This window comes from Homo sapiens, chromosome 1 (assembly GCF_000001405.40).
Source record: "Homo sapiens chromosome 1, GRCh38.p14 Primary Assembly".
In the NCBI taxonomy this organism is placed as follows: Eukaryota; Metazoa; Chordata; class Mammalia; order Primates; family Hominidae; genus Homo; species Homo sapiens.
The window spans coordinates 118,898,959-118,918,036 of record NC_000001.11 but is presented as its reverse complement, the minus strand read 5'-3'; the positions used below and the strand labels follow the sequence as shown (position 1 = coordinate 118,918,036).

At 39.7% G+C, this 19,078-nt stretch overlaps 1 protein-coding gene across 8 annotated transcripts in view, besides 1 other annotated feature; it reads left to right on the top strand.

Annotated features, from left to right (window-relative positions):
* The window catches only part of TBX15 (T-box transcription factor 15), a 106,464-nt gene that overhangs the window by 71,474 nt on the left and 15,912 nt on the right, over positions 1-19,078 (top strand). For all 8 annotated transcript variants that reach the window (NM_152380.3, XM_047429138.1, XM_047429131.1 and 5 more), the window contains 2 exons: positions 3,858-3,922; positions 18,912-19,009. In NM_152380.3, coding sequence (NP_689593.2) covers positions 3,858-3,922; positions 18,912-19,009 — 163 coding nt within the window. The remainder of the gene's footprint in view (positions 1-3,857; positions 3,923-18,911; positions 19,010-19,078) is intronic.
* Positions 11,301-11,706: an enhancer, noted in NCBI's record as "ENSG00000092607_1:119250477-119250882 (NCBI36/hg18 genome assembly) insert fragment". NCBI's record gives its function as "drives selective reporter gene expression in differentiated C2C12 myotubes {active_cell/tissue: C2C12}" and the evidence as "EXISTENCE:reporter gene assay evidence [ECO:0000049][PMID:22144875]".

The following is a 19,078-nucleotide window of genomic DNA, read 5'->3' as shown; positions in this document are numbered from 1 at the left end:
ATTTGGTTGTAGAGCAAATGTGAGTGGCCTGAACACAGAAAGAGCTTGGCACATTCCAGAACTGGGAGCATCTCAGTCTGGCTGAGTTGCTCAGTCTGTCCTGAGCCTGTGGATCAAGGCAAGGGAGTGTGAATGGGTTGGAGAGGCAGGCCAGAGTAAGGGCCTGCTGGCTCTGCAAAGCTAGACAAGGAATTTGGATTAAATTCTGAGCGGTAGTGGCCACTAAAGAGAATGACATGGTCCAGTTACATGTTAACGAAGACCAAATGGGGTGCTGGATAGAGAAGAGATTGTACAGGGACGAGAATGGAAGAAAGGAGTTCAGTTCTAAGGCTACATAGAATAGTTCAGTCAAGAGATGATGATGACATGGGCTAAGGTTTCTGGAATATGTGTTATTCTTTCCCACTTTGATATTCATGCTTACATAGGGCCTTTCTTTTAAAAATTTTAAATTAAATTTTATTTTAAGTTCCACGACACATATGCAGGATGTGCAGGTTTGTTTCATAGGTAAATGTGTGCCATGGTAGTGTGCTGCACCTATCAACCCATCACCTAGGTATTAAGCCCCACATGCATTAGCTATTTATCCTGATGCTCTTCCTCTCCTGCTCCCTGACAGGCCTCAGTGTGTATTGTTCCCTTCCCTGTGTCTATGTGTTCTCATCATTCAGCTCCCACTTATAAGAGAGAACATGTGGTGTTTGGTTTTCTGTTCCTGCGTTCGTTTGCTTAGGATATTGGCTTCCAGCTCCAACCATGTTCCTTCCAAGGACATGATCTCATTCCTTTTTATGGCTGTGTAGTATTCCATGATGTATATGTATCACATTTTCTTTATCCAGTCTATTATTGATGGGCATTTTGGTTGATTCCACGTCTTTGTTATTGTGAATAGTGCTACAATGAACATACACATGCATATATCTTTATAATAGAAGATTTCTATTTATTTGGGTATATATCCAGTAATAAGATTGCTAGGTTAAATGCTATTTCTGATTCTAGGTCTTTGAGGAATCCCTGCACTGTCTTCCACAATAATTGAACTAATTTGCATTCCCACTGACAGTGAAAAGCATTCCTATTTCTTCACAGCCTTGCCAGCATCTGTTTTTTCTTGATTTTTATTTATTTATTTTTATTTTTTATTTCTTTATTTTTTTTGGAGACAGAGTCTTGCTCTGTCATCCAGGCTGGAGTGCAGTGGTGCAATCGTAGCTCACCATAGCTCCCACTTCCTGGGTTCAAGCAATTCTCTCGCCTCAGCCTCCCAAGTAGCTGGGACTACAGGTGCACACCACCATGCCTAGGTAATTTTTTGTATTTTTAAGTAGAGATGGTGTTTCATCATGTTTCCCAGGCTGGTCTTGAACTCCTGAGCTCAGGCAATCCATCTGCCTCGGCCTCCCAAAGTATGAGGATTGCAGGCATGAGCCACCACGCTTGGCCTCTTGACTTTTTAATAATCGCCATTTCTGACTGGCGTGAGATGGTATCTCATTGTGGTTTTGATTTGCATTTCTCTAATGATCAGTGATGTTGAGCTTTTTTTCATGTGTTTCTTGGCCACATAAATGTCTTCTTTTGTGAAGTGTCTGTTCATATCCTGTGTTACATAGTGCCTTTCTTAAGAAATGCTTCCTTTGTCCTTTTTCCTTCTCTTGTGTTTTCATTAAAATCCTACACATCTTTCAAGGCCTAGCTCACATGCTGTCTCTAACATGAAACCCCAGAGCCCTTCAACATGGAGTAATTCCTACTTCGTCTAAGCTTTCAGGGTACTTTGCCTTTATTGTGAACTTTATGACCTTCTTTTTTATATTGTAATTGTTAGTGCACATCTGCTTCTTTCTTCTGGATTATAAGCTCCTTGAGGAAAAATGGATGACACACAGCTATACACTGGCTGTACACCATTCTGTCACCTGTGTTGCTTGTCACACTGCTTTGCACACAGAAGGCACTTGATGATAAATGATAAGTGGCACAACCACTCTCTTCATAAAGCTCCCTAATTCTCACATTAAAAGCTTTAAAACAAGTGTACAGATATTGTTTTTTTCTAACACTTGAGACATTTGCTATTAAATTTCCATGCATACCCATTGGCCTGGGATCCAATGAGCTGTGGGAAATATATTTTTAACCATTTCCCCCGGGCCCATGAAGTAGAGTGCTGTTATATTTACAGGGGTCTGTGGAGACCCCCAAAACATGGTATCACAGTCATGTGTCAGAAATCCCTATCATAAATGAGTTGGACAGGATAAACCAACTTGAAAGAGAAAATAAAATATTATAACTCCAACTTGAAAAGAAAATATGGTGCATGGTTTATTGCTGTGGATTATGGAGGAAGAAAGAACTGATTTTCGGTCAAACACAGAAAAGCAGTGACACTCTTTAAACTCAATACAGTATTCATATGGCAGACACTCGACTTTAGAAAGCCAAACCTTTAGACTCCTGCTATGGTCTATAAAATACATGTAAAATTGCTTTTGCTACATTGTTGGTGCTGCATAATTAGTGTGCAATTTTAAAGGCAAGGAATATTTAGGAAGAAAATAACCTTGAAGCCTGGAAGACTCTTTCAAGTCAGAGTCTGTTTGTCAGAATCTCACATTGCTTTGAAAGACCTTTAAAGACTGCGGTCTTGGGAAATTCCACTCTGATAAAATGAGGTGAAAGAGAACTAGGAAAGATTTGCAATGTAGGAAACAACTTTAGCTGTCCTAGTGATACGTTCTACAATTATCAAAAATATGAAGATGGTCTTAAATAATGAGATTCCCTTATTTCTAGAATCACCTTGCATTGGGAGTGCCTTCCTTCCTTCCTGAGCTCCCTAGCACCTATGCCTAAGTCTCCATTGCTTGCATGTAGTGAGTCATTAACAATTCAGACACAAAGGTACCAAGGCTGAAAGTGGAAACACTAGAGTGCATGTGACATATGTTGTTCAGGCTTGTTCTAGTCTACAGGCATGAGGGCAATATATACAACCATGGCAGGGTTTGCCAGAACTAAGATAGGATGCAATGGATGGGGACTTATGCATTGAGTGGGGGTTGAACCACATGGCCCCTGAGGACCAAGCTGGTGACACAATTGGATGTGCTAGCTTGGTCAGCCTTATGAAACTGGCTCTTTGTTTCTGATTTGCTTGTGAGTCTTGGAGACTGGATAACATGTACTGCATCCTGCCCCATTCAGTCTCACATTGTAGATTTTCCTTTGGGTAAGACCCTGGCAAAAGTCTGCTTTTTCTGTCTTCTACATGAACATTTCAAGTCATTAAATGAATAATTTCTAGTGGTAGGAAAGGCATGCCTTCAGTGAAATGGCAAATGCAGTCAATTTTTTGGGTCTTTCAGGCTAAGGCAGATTGTCTTGTGGTCTGATTCCACCTAACTGAATTGACTGAGTCCATTATTAATTATTAACTCACTTACACATCATTTGTTTACTCACTCATTCAACAAGCATTTTTTAAGTGCCTCCCGTGTGTCATGTACCATGGACGTGACCATTGACCAATTTTCCATTTCAATATCTGTCTAGGCAAGTGATTTACCACCACTCTGGGGCAAGGAAGGTGAGTAGGAGAGAGTTTTTAGAGTCACATACTGGGCAAATTTTAGTTTTTATAGAGAAGTGAGTCGGGTGGGTCAGACATCTGTGTGCCAGGCCAAGTTCTATATCCAGCTTCAAATTAAATCTTGAGCTGAAAGGAAATTAAATAAAAGCAACAACTGTTATTAAAAAAGTGATTTTTGTAATTTTCTAGGAGTACTAAGAAAGAAATCAGTTAATATAAAAGCAATTCATACTTATTTGTTTGTTTCCAGATTACCAGATTAAAAATTGACCGAAACCCTTTTGCTAAAGGATTCAGAGATTCTGGGAGAAACAGGTAAGAATCACTGGGGAAGAGGCACTTCTTTTCTATGTGACATTACTTCCCTCACATCCTGCTGATGGTTGATGGCTCCTGCCTTTTAGAAAACACCTGTATGCTCCGCCACTGTGTACACTTCGGCAAAGAGAAATGGATAGCTAACGTAAGAATCAAATTCTTTGTTGCATAGTCTAAATCACCAGATCAAATCCCTCATGCTGTTTTCTTCCCCACATCATATTTAGTAATTGAGTCACTTAAAACAAATTTTATGGTAATTTATTATCATTAAAAGATTGCCATTTTTCTCTGATAAGTATCTATAGGTGGCTTCAGCACCTGCAGTGATATCTCATATATTTCTCATTCCCAGGAAACAAGGAGTTGTAGACAAATAACATTTTTTCAGAAAATTACTACCTTAAGAGCTAAAACAGTGTGAAAAAAAATGTAACTGTTTTTCTCCTGGGAAATAGTTCCAAAATATATCAGATGCTTCCTGCTTTAGAAAAGAGAGTTTACAGAACACCCCTTTCTTGATGACTTAGCCTCAGTCACTATGACTAGGTTATTATATAGTGAATCTCTTATTGCTGAAGTTTATAGGACCATTTGCTCCTGCTATAAATGTCCTTAGAGACTGTGTCATTTCTCTTGTTGATACTTCTTTCTTTTCTCGAAATTCTTTCTCACTCCTCCTATATAAAATTAAAAGCTGTTACCTATGGAAAGTTAGGAGAGAATCAAAATGGGTAGGGAAACCAGCTATATCTAAGATTATTCAATCAGAAAATTTCATCTTGTATAGACAGTATTGAATCCACAAATGTGACACATCTGTCTCATAAGTGCGTAGGCTTTGCAATGACTGTTTATTTTAATAGATTTTTTTTTTTTATAGTTTGAGGGCATTTATTTACATTCAAATGACAGATTACCAGGGGTTATCTTTGGTATTCTGTCTGTAAGAATTTTCAAATAAACCAAAAACTTTTATTTCAAACCATTTTGTGAAATGTGCAGTACATTATATTAAAATCCAGATTTATGCTAAAAATCAGTTATGGCAATCATTTTCTTTACAAAATGACTTATGAATCACTTCTCTACTAAACTTATGTATATTTAAAATATATTTAGATTTGAATAAAATGGTATTCACCTCAGAATTTTTAAAAATTGTATGTACTGAGAAAAGTAAAAATCACTCAAAATTCCAGCTTGTAGACAACAAAATTGAGCAATATATTTTTGGTCAAGCAACTACTTGTTAGTGGTAGAGCGTAGTAGAACTCAGGCTTATGGACTACATGTCAAATGCTCTCCTTTTGATCATTCTTTGTTTATAACAAGACAAAGGCCGTCATTTTCAAAATTTAGCCAGTGAGGAATGAATACCTACTACTTTCATTTCAGATGGCCCATCCTCTTCCTTCCCATTAGCTTATTTTACATGTCCAGGTCAGCAGAATGTGCTTGCAAGCCATTTCCTATTGCCTTTTTTTCCAAGGTTCTGCACTATGGGCTAACAGAAGACCTTGTTAGTGATAAGGAGATCAAAAATGAAGCTAGCCTTTTGTAAAGAAGCCTCTAGACCTGTCTTGGTGGTGATTCTTTGGGGCAGGACTTTCATGACAGGCTATTTCTGGAGGTAGGCCATGGCATGCAAGGGCTTTTAAGACCTTCAGCTTGAAGTACATGGATAGATTTTTCAGGGGTTCCAGATATTGTAGGTAAAATTGTGTTTGAATGAATAGATGCACATTTTTCCTGGAGAGAGGTCTATATCTTTCTTCAGATTTTCAAAAAGTCTTAAAGTTAAGAATTTCTGCTCTAGATACAACTCTCTCTCTCTCTCAAGGGTTCCAACCTACTGGTGTTAGTTATTAAACTATTTCTTTCTTTTTCCTTCCTTCTGTATCTCCAATAGCATTTAGTATTTGCTTATTTTATTCTTGGCACTTGAAATATTTTATTTTCTTTGCTTTTTTCTCCCATTTGAGTCATTGTTTTTCTGAGTTTTTATTCGTTTTTCTAAAGTTGAATTTGATTTCTAAATAAGTGCTTTCCTATGAGCAGCCACCCTATCCTTGGAAATTGCCATCTGAACATACTTTAACCATTTATTGTCTGCACTGCAAAGGCATCAAGAAATATGTATGTCAATTATTGATAAATGCAAAGAAGAAACATAAATCAGATTAAGAGGTAGAGTGAGAGTGGAAGACACTTTTACAGTGTGAATAGGGATGGTGTCCTGATAAGATGCCATGAATGTTGCAAAAGAAGCTACCAACTATGCACTCTGGGCAGTAGAAACAGCAAGTGCAAAGACAGACGTGTGCCAGGCATGTCTGTGCAACATCAAGGAGGCCCTGTGGCTACAAGGCGTGACCCCTGCCCAGGAACATGACTGAGTATCATGAGAATGAAGGTGCTGAGGCATGATTTAGAACAGAAAAGTAGGCTAGATAAGCTAGTGTTGACCAGCATTAGATCTATGTTGTAGGAATTAGAGCCACTCTTTAACTTTGAGAATTAGACTGTTGCATCTTGAAGGATTTGCTTTTGGTTAGGAATTGTGATGACATCTCAGTTCAAGTGCTGAGGCCCTCGTTCCTCTACTGGCCTGAAGGCTGGTGACTGTCTTACTGCTCAGGGCAGACAGTTATGTGTGTGTCCTTCCTAATGGGCTCTATTCTCTCTAAGGGATTCAGGAAAGCAGAACTATGGATCTTCGTTAATCCATTTCACAGCATTATTTATTTATTCTTTTCTGATACCATGGGAATTCTTCATTATGTTCCATCAAAATCTGAGGGCTACTTTAAGTACTATCAGAAATTTTATCAGTTAACTTACTGTGTTCCAGACCTTTAATTACGCTTTCTCTAATCTTCAAAACAACTCGTATTTTACAAATGAAGCAATTGAGGCTCAGAGAGGTTAGGCAGTTTTCCTACTGTCACAAAGTAAAGCTGGAGCAGGTATTAAAACCGACTCTGCCTGACTTCAAAGCCTGAATGGTTTGTGCTTTATCATGCTAACAGTTTACACTTGACTTATTTTATCTTCAACAGATATTGAGAACAGAATTCTAACTCTAAAAGGCAGAATCCTACCTCTTAATCTGTGTAAAAACACTATTCAAGTCACCTAGCACCTTTGCTTTTCCAAGTAAATCAAACTGTATATTCTCAGTTTGTCTTCGTAGTCTACTCCCCATGACTTCTTTATCAACTTTCTATCCCCATGTAAGTAAGTGTTTTCCTAGTAGAGAACAGGAAGCCAGCCTGACCTTCCCTAGCAGGTGAAACTATGATATAATGACATTGAAGTCATGTGTCTCATGATGGGGCAAGGATGAATTACTAAAGATAGAAGCCATTTTTGTCCTTCAGCATTCTGGAAAACTAGATTAAAATAAATTGCTACGGCAAGTAAGGGGACCCTTGTATTTTTCTCTTTAAATATCTCAAAATTACCTGATAATCACACTTTAATTCTCACTGGCTACCCACAGGATCTGATAAGGGCAACAATTATTAATGCCACCTTGCAGGTGGGAAATATTGATAGATGAGGATACAGAGAATTATTTGCAAATCTTCTGGGAACTGGTGGTTCTGTGCCAGAATCAGGACCCAGTTCACCACCTTCCATCAAGCACCTCATCTATTGCCCTTCTGTGGTAAAACAACAACAACAACAACAACAACAAAAATCTTGTAAATCTAAGATCTTCCCCATGCATTTTAGACATCAAGTGACTACTCATGCAGAGGAGCATGGTTTGATGAGTTGCATGTAAATGTACCCAAAACATACGGATTACATTTCCTTTAAACACACATGGGCTTAAAAATTAGGAGGGAAAGTGCTTGTCCAATGTTTTTTGGTTTTGCAGAACACAAAACATTTGTGGAAGACTTTGGAGTTACAGAGTTTGCCAAACCTCAAACCAAAACATGTTCAGGTTTGTCAATCTCAATCCCTCCTAGTACAATCCAGAGGCTCAAGAAGAGGGGAATGAGAGGAAAGATGGGGAGGACACAGCCACCCACAACACTCTCCTCAAATGCCTATGAGAGTCTCTCTCAGCCCATAAGCCTCTCACACTCAGAACCATCCGAGTGTAGCCCCCTGGCTGACAACTATGTCCTCCGAAGCATAGAAAAGAGTGCTTGAGGGACCTGTGGCTGAGCATACTAGCTTCCCATTTTTCATATGTTGATGTAAAGAGACATCTGGCAGGGTGCGGTGGCTCATGCCTGTAATCCCAGCACTTTGGGAGGCCGAGGTGGGTGGATCACGAGGTCAGGAGTTTCAGACCAGCCTGGCCAACGTGATGAAACCTTGTCTCTAGTAAAAATACAAAAATTAGCCGGGCATGGTGGCGCGTGCCTGTAATCCCAGCTACTGGGGGCGCTGAGGCAGGAGGATTGCTTGAATCTGGGAGGTGGAGGTTGCAGTGAGCCGAAATCATGCCACTGCACTTCAGCCTGGGCAACGGAGCGAGACTCCGTCTCAAAGAAGAAAAAGAAAACAAACAAACAAACAACAACAACAACAACAACAAAACAGAGATATCCATGGAGAAGTCCTCCTGGCTTCCAGCCCCATCCCTTTCTCATTCCTCTCAATGGGAACCAGAATGACTGATCTGATTCATGAGTCTGGAGGAAGGAACCCCCCAGATTCTTGCCTGCTTGCCTGCAGAACATACATTCCCAGCTGTCTTTTCATTATGTGGAAAGTCTAGCAGAGGAGGCCTACATTTCTGGGGCATCAGCTTATTTCAGAGGAGTTCAAGCCAGCTCATTCAGCCTTCTCGCTTATGCCACAACCCCCAAACACCTTTATCTATAGTAAAAATGGTATTCTGGTCTCCATGGCATTAGGCTCCTGTGCCTTCCACAGAATAGATTCTGAGCTTGGGTGAAACAAGAGGTGATATTCATTGGACTGTGTAAGACCCCAAGGGGAGCCCCAGTGAGTCCACATTTCAGTCCTGTGGTGCCACCATCATTAGAGCCTATTGTAGTTCTCCCTGCTTCTTTAGGAAGTGTCAGGTGAGAAGCATAGGAAGGTCTCCACCCTTCAGACTTGACTTATGGAACTGCTACTTTCCATTACCAAGTAATTAAGCCCCTGATGAGAAGTCTTCACTGGGAGCATGCATGCATGTGTGTGTGTGTGTGTGTGTGTGAATGTTGAGTGTGCGTATGTGTAAGTAAACCTGTATATGTGTGAGTGTGTGTCTATGTGTGTATGTATAAATATTGTAAGTATTCATATATGTGTGAATGTGTGTGTGTGTGCAAGTATAAGTATACCTATATATGTGTGAGTGTGTGTGTGTGTGTGAGAGAGAGAGAGAGAGACAGGAGTAGGTGTACGTGTGTGTTCACGTCGTGGGGAAGCATAGCAGATGGCCATTTATTCTGGAGTGAAATCACTGACAGATTTTGCTTCCAGGCATTGTCTCTGCAATAGGAGGGAAATTGTTTTATTTTCTTTTTTCTAAGTTGTTTCTACTTCTAGATTTCTTAGAAATTGTGTGGCCCAAATCTGGTTTTGGGTGTGTGTGTGGGATGGGGGCAGTGTTCACCTATTATCAGGCCTGTAGCTGTCAGGCACAATATCCAGGGTTGCCTCTGGGAGATTTCTCTTACTTGGGGAGACAGTAACACTTGCCTGTTTTCAGGGAGAAATAGCTTTTCTCAGCTTGAGATTTTTTTTTTTTTTTTTTGGTCTTGTGCTCTGTGTTCCTGGGCTCTGCCCCCTACTAGAATATAAGCTCCTGGAAGACTGGGACTGTACCTATTGCAGGTTTCTGTTCTTGTATTTTTTTTCCATGGTGCCAGGAATAGAGAATAAAACAATAATTTTTCATTTAGCTACAAAACAGTAAAAAGGTGTTGATGAATGGCACAGAAATTAAAAATCAGGAGCTCTAGAGAAAGAAAGCCCTATCCCAGCCAGGGGGAAATCAGGTAGGTCAGCAGTGAGGAGCTAGTTTTGAACACCACATAAGGAGGGAAGAAGGAGCAAATCTCTAAATAGGCTTAGTTTAAAGATTAATGGCAATTGTGATTAAAATCGGAGACTGATCACTGCTGTAAGACATTGATTTAGCCTAACTGTAGATTAGACACACACACCCTTGAGACCCTCTGATCTGGCTCTGGGTAGCTGGGGCATGTCTGTGTGTTCTGGCTCCCTGGAGAAAGATACCTAGCAATTTTCAGTGCCTGCGAGCTTCAGGAAAGAAGTGGTTCCCAGAGACTGAGCTAAAGCAGAATGAGGTTTGGTTGAGAAAGGACACCCAGTAGTGAACCAAGAGGTAAAATTATGTCTTTGAGGTTGGCCACCCCAATGGGGAACCTGCACCAAGGAGAAGACAAAGATCCTGAAGCTAAAGAGGAGCAAGAGTCTTTGCACTGGGTCTAATTGTTGAGAAGCACCTATGGGAGGTGCATGTGCACACATACCTGGAGAGTCCACTGTGCTCAGCTAGAGGGAGCATGACAACTGCCAAGACCCTGCACATGAAAGAGATAACCAAAGAAGTGGAAAGAAAGAGACTGCATCTTTCATCCCACATCTGATGTGAAAACTTCTTCCTATCAAGCCATCCTTGATAGGGTGGCTGCCAAGATTTTACAGAAAGCACAAGTCAGCTTGGAAAATTTTATATAATAATTCTCAGGGACTTCCTCCAAAGCAAACACATACATAAAAATGAGATTATTAAGGTTGTGGTCTGTCTGAGTAGTGAAGGGTTCTATGAACTTGTCTTAAAAGTGCTATGGAGTGAAAGACTCTGGGATTTCCTCTGACGGAGCCTTCATCCTGTCTGTGACCTTGGGCTTTACCCTTACTCCTAGCCTCCATTGCATCTAGTACAGCTGCAGGTGGGACTGTCCCATCTGACACAGTTTCCTCCAGATATTTCCAGCTGGTATGGCACCCCAAAGCCACTGCTGTTGGTCCCATGATAGGGCCCAAGTGGAATGGCCCTTCTGTAGCCCAGGGAATTGGTACAACTTTTTAGGAGGGTATGTTTTTCTCTTTCGAATCCACCATTGGAAGCCTGAGCCAGAAACTCAAATTCTATAACTTAGAAACTGTCAGAAAGGAGCCAGTGGCAGGCTCTGTATCACAAGGAAGTTGTTTTATATGGGTAAGTAGTTTTAATGAATTGCCCCTCACTGAAGAAACAATAGGGCTTGCAGGATGAGGTGCAAGAAGAAATCTGAGTCTCAGTTCATTCTTGGAGTGTTTGCAGCCAGCAGTGCTGTTTGCTGGGAATGTGGCTGGTGGCAGTCCTTCTTGGTGCCTAGTGTCCTTTTACATAACATGTCAGAGGATGCTGATCTAAGACTGGTGCCACTCACTGCATTACGGGAATGGATATATTTGCTCACTGAAAGAGAATGTTTAATGAGGTTGATACTTAACCTGAGAGAAATAATTTCTGTCTAGGGGAGGTGGAGAAAATATCTGGGAGTAAAGAACTTTCCCATGACCCCCTCTTCAGCAGCTGCTGTCCCATGGCCATGTTTATAAAGAACCACCTCTCTTGGGCACAAATAGGCGTCCCCTGTTGGAGGGCCAGCCCCTTCTCACAACACCCAATGGAAGGTGGAATGTAAGATGAGGAATCAAAGTGCCTAATATTAGCAGAAGGAAAAGAAGGGACGAGGAAAAGTAGGCTAGAAATTAATCCCAGGGCCAGTTTGTTTTTGCTGAAATCTGAAACAACTTGTCATTGGGGGTGGGAGGAGAAAGGGTATACAGAGGATCTCCGTTAAAATTTGCTAATAGAGCTCTCTATTATAACCAAGTAACTCAAATCTTATCTATACCTTTATCTATTAAGTTAAACATAGAAAATTACTGTATTTATAGGTCAAAAATGGCAAAATGCTAGCAATTTCATACAGTTTAACCTCATATATTTATTGTTAGCCATTCAAATCATAAGTATACAAGCAATAGTAACAATTATTTCACAGAGTATCTGTGGTCCAAGTTGTCCATTTTTATCTCCAAGTTGATGACGTCAATGCACTATTTCCCATTTTACTGATGGTAAGACTGAACACCATGAGGTATTAGCTTTCAGAATTTGTAAATCCAGCTAATGACAGTGTACAGAGAATGGTTTCACTCTCTTCTGCTAGGCATAGCTTGCTAGTTAACAGAAATTGTATCTTTGTCCACCTCTGGCTCCCTGTCACTCCTGAAGACTCATGTAGTGAGCTTAGAGCCAGTGAACTGACCACTTGTCTTTAATTCAACCAGCATGACATCTCAAGTGTCTATCTCACTTTCAATTTCTATATTTTCATTTGGTTTCCCTAAAGCCATTGGGTATATTTGTCCAGCCAATCTCTTTCTACTCTTTCCTGGCACTCTTACCAGCCCCCCAAAATTTTGCAAACCCTTTTGTTATCCCTGGCATGGGTGGCTTATGCCATTTAGCAGATCTATGGAAGTAATCAGTGCTGGACACTCCAGCAGGCACTACTGCATCTACAATTCAAGGTAGCTGGCCCTGTGCTGGATTCTGGCAGATGATCCAGCTGGACTCCTGCTTTTCATGCAGGCCATAGCTGTTTATCATATTCTTTGGCTTGTAGTCTTTTATCCAGTACTTAACATTTTTTCTGCCTTATTTGTTCGCCCTCCCTTGTCATGAGCCTTTTCCACCATTGTCCTCTTGGCTGTGTGGCCTTGCCAGAGAAAATTGGCGATCATTTTGTTATCTGTGGCTTTTGCCCAGGGATGGTGTCATCGAACAGAGAGACGTCTTTTTAATGGCTAACATATTGGAGTCTGAAATATCTGCAAGATAATGAGGCCTAGAGGGACTTGAGGGACACGTTTTTGTTTCTTTGAGAAGACAACGAAAAATGGAATTAGGTACCATACAGCTCCCTCCACATTTAATCCAGAGCCAGAGGGCTGACAGAACTTTGGATTTCAGTGAAGTAAGAGTATATTCTTCTATTATAGGTTACAGTCTGAGGAGAATGATTGTAATTCTTTTGCTTGAGTTAGACCAATGGTCCTCAAACTTTCATTATGTTTTCTCTCTTTTTTTGATACATTTTGTCTTTAATCAGTCTGCATTTATTAAATCACAGTTAGGAGGAAGTATTATGATTATCTCCATTTTACAGATAGGCAGACTTAGAAATGAAGAGGTTATATAACTTGGCAAAGGTTGTACTAATAGTCAGCAGGGTAGCAGTTTGAAGCCAGGTAATCTAGCCCCAGAGCCTGTGCTCTTAACCATTATGCTATTTTGTCCCTCATGTGATTTTAGCATTACTGAATTAAAGTTAGACAATTTCAGTCAAATGCAAAGAAACTTAATATTCTAGTTAGCCAACTTTGTATGATCATGGGTTATTACTACACTTATTGAGTCAATGAAAACTCTTTATGGACTGCCATTACTGCTGATTCATACTCCAAGGGAGGACAGGGTTCTTAAGTTGGGAATCACTTGGTAAGGAGCAATTTTAACTCAACTCCAGGCATCTGTCCATTGGACACTTGTTCTCCCAAACCATTGCAAGGCACATTAATGACAGCTACTTCATCATGTAGATATACTTATGGTACTATTTAACACCAAGTTTTGAATGATGGTTAGGTTTTTAGTCAATTTGCACACCTCTGCTGGGAGGTCTTTTAGAATATCCCTGGACAATAACATTCCTGAGTAATCTGGATATTTTGATCTGAGTAATTCTATTTCAGATCCAGTGAAGGAGAAAGAAGTATGGAAGGTTTGGCCTTACCTAAACCAAGCAAGAAAATCTATGAATGTTGAGATGTGATAATTATATCTGAAGGAACAGTATATTCTAGTTATATGTCCTTTCAAATACTAGAAGGGAAAAGAAAGGGGATCAGAGGCATAGCACCACCCATGGGACAAAATCTAAGCACCTGTCATGGAATAAATGCTCATGGTGTCTACTGCCCTTCTCCCATTCTGTACCCTAGGCTCCAGTCACCCTGAACTATGTCCCCAAAACATGCCTTCTCTTGCATACCTCCAAGTCTTTGCACATACTGTTAAGTCTACTAGAAAAACTTTTACTGACTCTTTTCTGGATGGAAAACTGCTGATTACTCTTTAATAGTAAGCTTAAATAACTGGCCTTTTGTGGAATCTTCCTTGACTTTTTCAGGTATATTAAGTGATTCTTGCCCAATATTCCATGGCATCTTGGCATACATGCCTTCAGTGTAACATTTACTGCATAGTTCAGAAACTAGTCATTTATATCTTGTTCCTTTTTTAAAAAACAAGACAGTCATAAAGGGTAGAGACCCTGTGTCTTTTCTGTCTTTATATTTCCTGAACTTAGTATTATAAGTATTTTTTTCTGGTTGGATAATTCTCTTATTACTTCAAGACCTCTGTCTCAGTAGGCTTCCCTTAGTCCTTTTCCATCTTCTACTGAGAAGACCAATGGCCTTATCAACCTATAGCATACGTTGTCTTTGTTACCAGTGTCACCAGCAAATAGTATGGGGAAGAGTAAAAATTAAGGAAGTCAGAACTAAAGAGAAAATAAACAAAGGAAACATTAAAAAGCAACTCCCTATCTCAAGACAAAAGAAAAGCAGAAATATGCATTGGAGTGCTACCAAGTAGGGTCATGAAATTTATTATAATTATTGTTGTACTTATCAAATATTTGCTGAACTTTGAAGGAATGATACTGCCATCTTTTTTGGATTGAAAATGTTGCAAGGATGTTTTTTTCTGTAGTCTGACTATTTTTCCAAATAAATTGATTTCAAGCCATCATCAATTTGCAAAAGAGGTCCTTGGCTTGCTTTCTCTTCTTCCTCTTTCTCCTTCTCTTCAGCACATTCTGTTGGTTTGGCTAGTGAGCAGCCTGAAAAGCCTAAAGAGAAGAGGCCTGGAAACCGGAGAGGTGATTACAGCCAAAGCACTGAACAAAGGTGGTTTGGATACGGCCTATGTTGTCAATGGAGCTAACAGGGAAAAAATGAGCAAGAGGGGGACACTTGCCAACTTGACCGTCTCTGATTGGAAATCTCAGAGATGACATCAGGTCTCTGCTGTTCAGCAGACCTGAGAGGCTCACCATGTGGAACACGTTAATGGCATACCATTACCTAGGACTGCTTTTTTCACCCGTTAGACAATGAATTCACTTTTAAAAACTTGGAGATAAAATTTTACAAAACTAGAGTAAAATGATGACAAATGAGTAAACAATGTGTAGCACAGGGTAAATTTTGACTAGACATCCAACTGGCTGAAGACGTTAATAGGTGGTTGGCAAGAACTCTCAAAAGAAAAGATGGGAGGTGAAATGACTCACCCCTGCAAGGGAACTCAGACTCTGCTGAAGCTCAGAAGTTCTATGGCTGGAATGGAAAAAGACAAGGAAAATGCAAACCTCTCTGAACCTGAAGTTAATAAAGGCACAATCGCAATCAGCTATAGAAACAATTCCCAAATCTCTAATACTGGAGGATGTCTTCTGTCTTCAGATACTTTATTTTACACCAAGTTGTGTTCCTAAGTTTTAGGCTTAGAAAAATGAATGCTTGTTAAAGTGTAAGAATGACTCAGCAATAAAGCATTCATTCTTCTACTTATTAATTCAATGCATATCATTTGAGATCTTATCCTGTAACCAGCACTGTGCTAGAAAACTGGGCATAGAAGAACATGGGACCTAAGCCCTTGAGATGCGACCATACTAGTGGTGGAGAGAGGTGAATTGTTTAATCTTGCCATGGCACTACACCAAATATTGATATATAGAACTAGTACCTTCTAATAATTAGATCTATCCAATGAAGCATAATAGGGTTGAGGACAAATAAAACAGGTAGAATATGGTAAATAAATAGGATTAATTTTTCTAAAAAGCAATACACACTGAATACATAAATAAAATCAATAATATAAATCTATGAGACCAATATTATTCTCTGTAGGATAATATATATTATAGGATCATTTCTATTATAGAATAATTTATATATATGCTATGTAGGATATATTTATAAGACATAGATCCACTGTGGATTAATAAGACATGGTTAGGCATGTATGGTCTTAGCCATTATTTTTTTGGGAGCCATAACCCTCCCCACACAATTCCACTACCAAACTGATCCTTGCTGTAACAGACCCCTGGATGGATTACATATGTGTCCATAGGTGGCATGTTGTTCTTTATGTTCGTTAGCTAAGGAAGGTCTCCCTGCTGAGGATGTGGCAGGTGGACTCCTTGTGGGAAATGCCTGTCACTCTCACTATTTACTTATTGGTAATGGAACCAGAGGGTGAAAGTTATATCAGATCAATCAAAAAACTGAAAATTTTCCTGGGGATATATATATACCAACAGAGGTGGATAACCATTCAAGATGGTGTCATAAGAGTTATAGTAGATGACATCCAAGATTCTTCCTAGATTTAAAATATGTGATTTTACAACTCAGTTCTTTTATTTGGATTTTAGATTTGAATTCATGAGTAAATAGTCACTATTCTATATAGAGTTAACTGCTTAAATAAAATAAAACTATTAACACTTTTGTCACAGTCTTCTTGCCTATTATGAAAATGAAACTGCTATGGTTTGAATATGTCCCCCAAAGTTTATGTGTTCCAAACTTAATCTGCAATAAAACAGTGTTAAGAGATGGGACCTTTAAGAGGTGATTAGGCTCTGAGAGCTGTGCCCCATGAATGGCTAATTAACACAGGAGTGTGTTCCTGATGAAAGAATAAGTTTGGTGCCTTTCTCTCTTGCTCTTGCCCTCTCTTGACCTTCCATCTTTCACCATGTATGACTCAGCACAAAGGCCCCTACCAGGTGCCAGCACCTTGCTCTTGGACTTCTCAGCCTCCAGAACTGTGAGCCAAATAAACTTTATTGTTTATAAATTACCTAGCATATGGTAGGTTATAGCAGCACAAAATGAACTAGGATAGAAAATGAAGTTCATTTTCTATTTATTCAACAAATAAAATATTGGCAGTGTATCAGTATATTATTGCAATTTCATAGTCTTCCAGCACTTCATTATGAACTGAGAAGGGACTGTTCTTTGTCCTTGAGCTAATATTTTGTCCTCATCATCAGTACATGTTCCTGGGAAGAATGAACTAGGAGGTGGAACAATAAAGACTCTGCCATTTTCAGTGAGCCTCCTGTGCCATTAAAGGGAATCCTAAGATATTCTGGTGGGTGGCCAACATTCCAAAACAAAGCAGTAAGACCTAAGCCTGGCCTATCTATTTCTTCTATCCATCCAGGCTCAGTGTGGCTTTATCTGCCTATCCCCTTATTATTCTGAACTCCCTAATTGCCTGGGCTCTTTCTCTCCACAAATAGTTTCATGTACTGTATTCAACATTAATGTAGAGTGACTATGTGGAGATGTCTCCTATTCCTACTTCTAACAGATTAACAGCTAATAAACACCATGTAACACTCTCTTCTCTGAACCTCTTCTTAAAATACAGAGTTTGGTTTGCCAACATTGGTGTATTTAAAGCCTCCAAGATTCCAGGGAAGACTTTAGAAAGTTAACTGTGCAAGTGAGGCCTGTTCAGAGAGGAAATTTTCCAACACAAAGAGTCAATCAGCGTATCAGCAGCTCATCTGAGAAGAACCTCAGGGTATCCTATAGTTGTTGATAAGTAAAGGATATTTGTTCTCACCTAAAATAAAATTTCTTTATTCTTGTTGTGTAAGGCTGAAGAGAACTCTGGAAATACATTACCAAGAAAGAAACACAGGCAGCAGAAGTTTCATCTCAAAAGGGGAAGCTAATCCATTTCAGGAAGGGATGCCATACCACCCACCTTCCAGTGACCTTGCAATGAAAAGATTTATGCCATCTGCTCTTTCCTATTCTCCTCCCACCTTTCTCACAGGTCCCACACTTCTCCTCTCTCTGTTTAGTTAAGTGAAGCAGTTTTTTTTTTAAAGAAAGATCAATAATTAGAAGCTGTGTTCAAAGCTTCAAACAAAGCCCCAGCTGATATTTTGTTTTGAGGGTATGGATATCATCAAGAATATGTCTGAGATAATCTCAATAATCATGTGAAAATGATGTATATCAGCACTTGCATATGTGTTAGAGACATAGTTAATTGAAGGGTAAAAAGACAGTATGCACATAGTCCAATTTATGGAATTTCCAATACAAATGAACCAGGAGCCTTAAAGGAATGTACTCGTAAAATGTTGGATACTTCCTGAACTCTGACAGTTTGTGATGGCCAAAGACCAGACTGATTATTAGGTTACTAAAATGCAGATGAATATTTGGAGAAATGTATTAGTCTTTTTGCCTGAGCCATAATTTTTGAGACCAAGCCCTTTCTTTATCTTCAGGTAGGTGTTTCTTATTGCAGCAGAAACCCAAGTCTATTTCACTGCTTACCTCTCCTTTTATTTCTGTTGCCCTATTCATCTCTGTTGATTTAAGAAGCCTTTAAAACCACAGCAGTTTGACAGTTCCATTCGTTCTGTACATACCCAAGGTGAGGAGTTGACTCTCGGTCAGGCTGTGTCAGTGCAGTGTGGTAATGATGACGACATTGTTCTGTGCTAGAGAAGCAGTCAATGTTACTTTCTGCACAACTGTACTCATGATATTAGTGGCCTTGACCTTTAATACTTACCATGCTTTTTTGCCTGCAGACCTAGCCTCATTTAAAGGAGGGTCAGAATAAAATTCCATCATAGTTGTAGATTTGCTTGCAAATGATCTGAATTGGGTTAATTTGTTATTCCCCCTGCAGTCCAGCATCATTGTACCTTGAGTTTTTTCACCCGAATTTACCTTGATGGTGGTAGCTTAGTATCTATGTTTTTATTACCTGTTTGACAGTCCACCTCTGGATCTCTGAAAAGTCAATGCATTTCTTGAAATTATTTATGACTTCCTTTGCTGGCTTTTCTCTTGTCAGAACTGGACTTGAAGCCATCATGGAGACATATGCATTCTGGAGACCTCCTGTGCGCACACTCACCTTCGAAGACTTCACCACCATGCAGAAGCAGCAAGGTAAAGCCCTGGAGCAAGGCCTCTGCTTAGTGATAGGGCCAGGGACAGAGTGGGAGCTCAACCGAATAT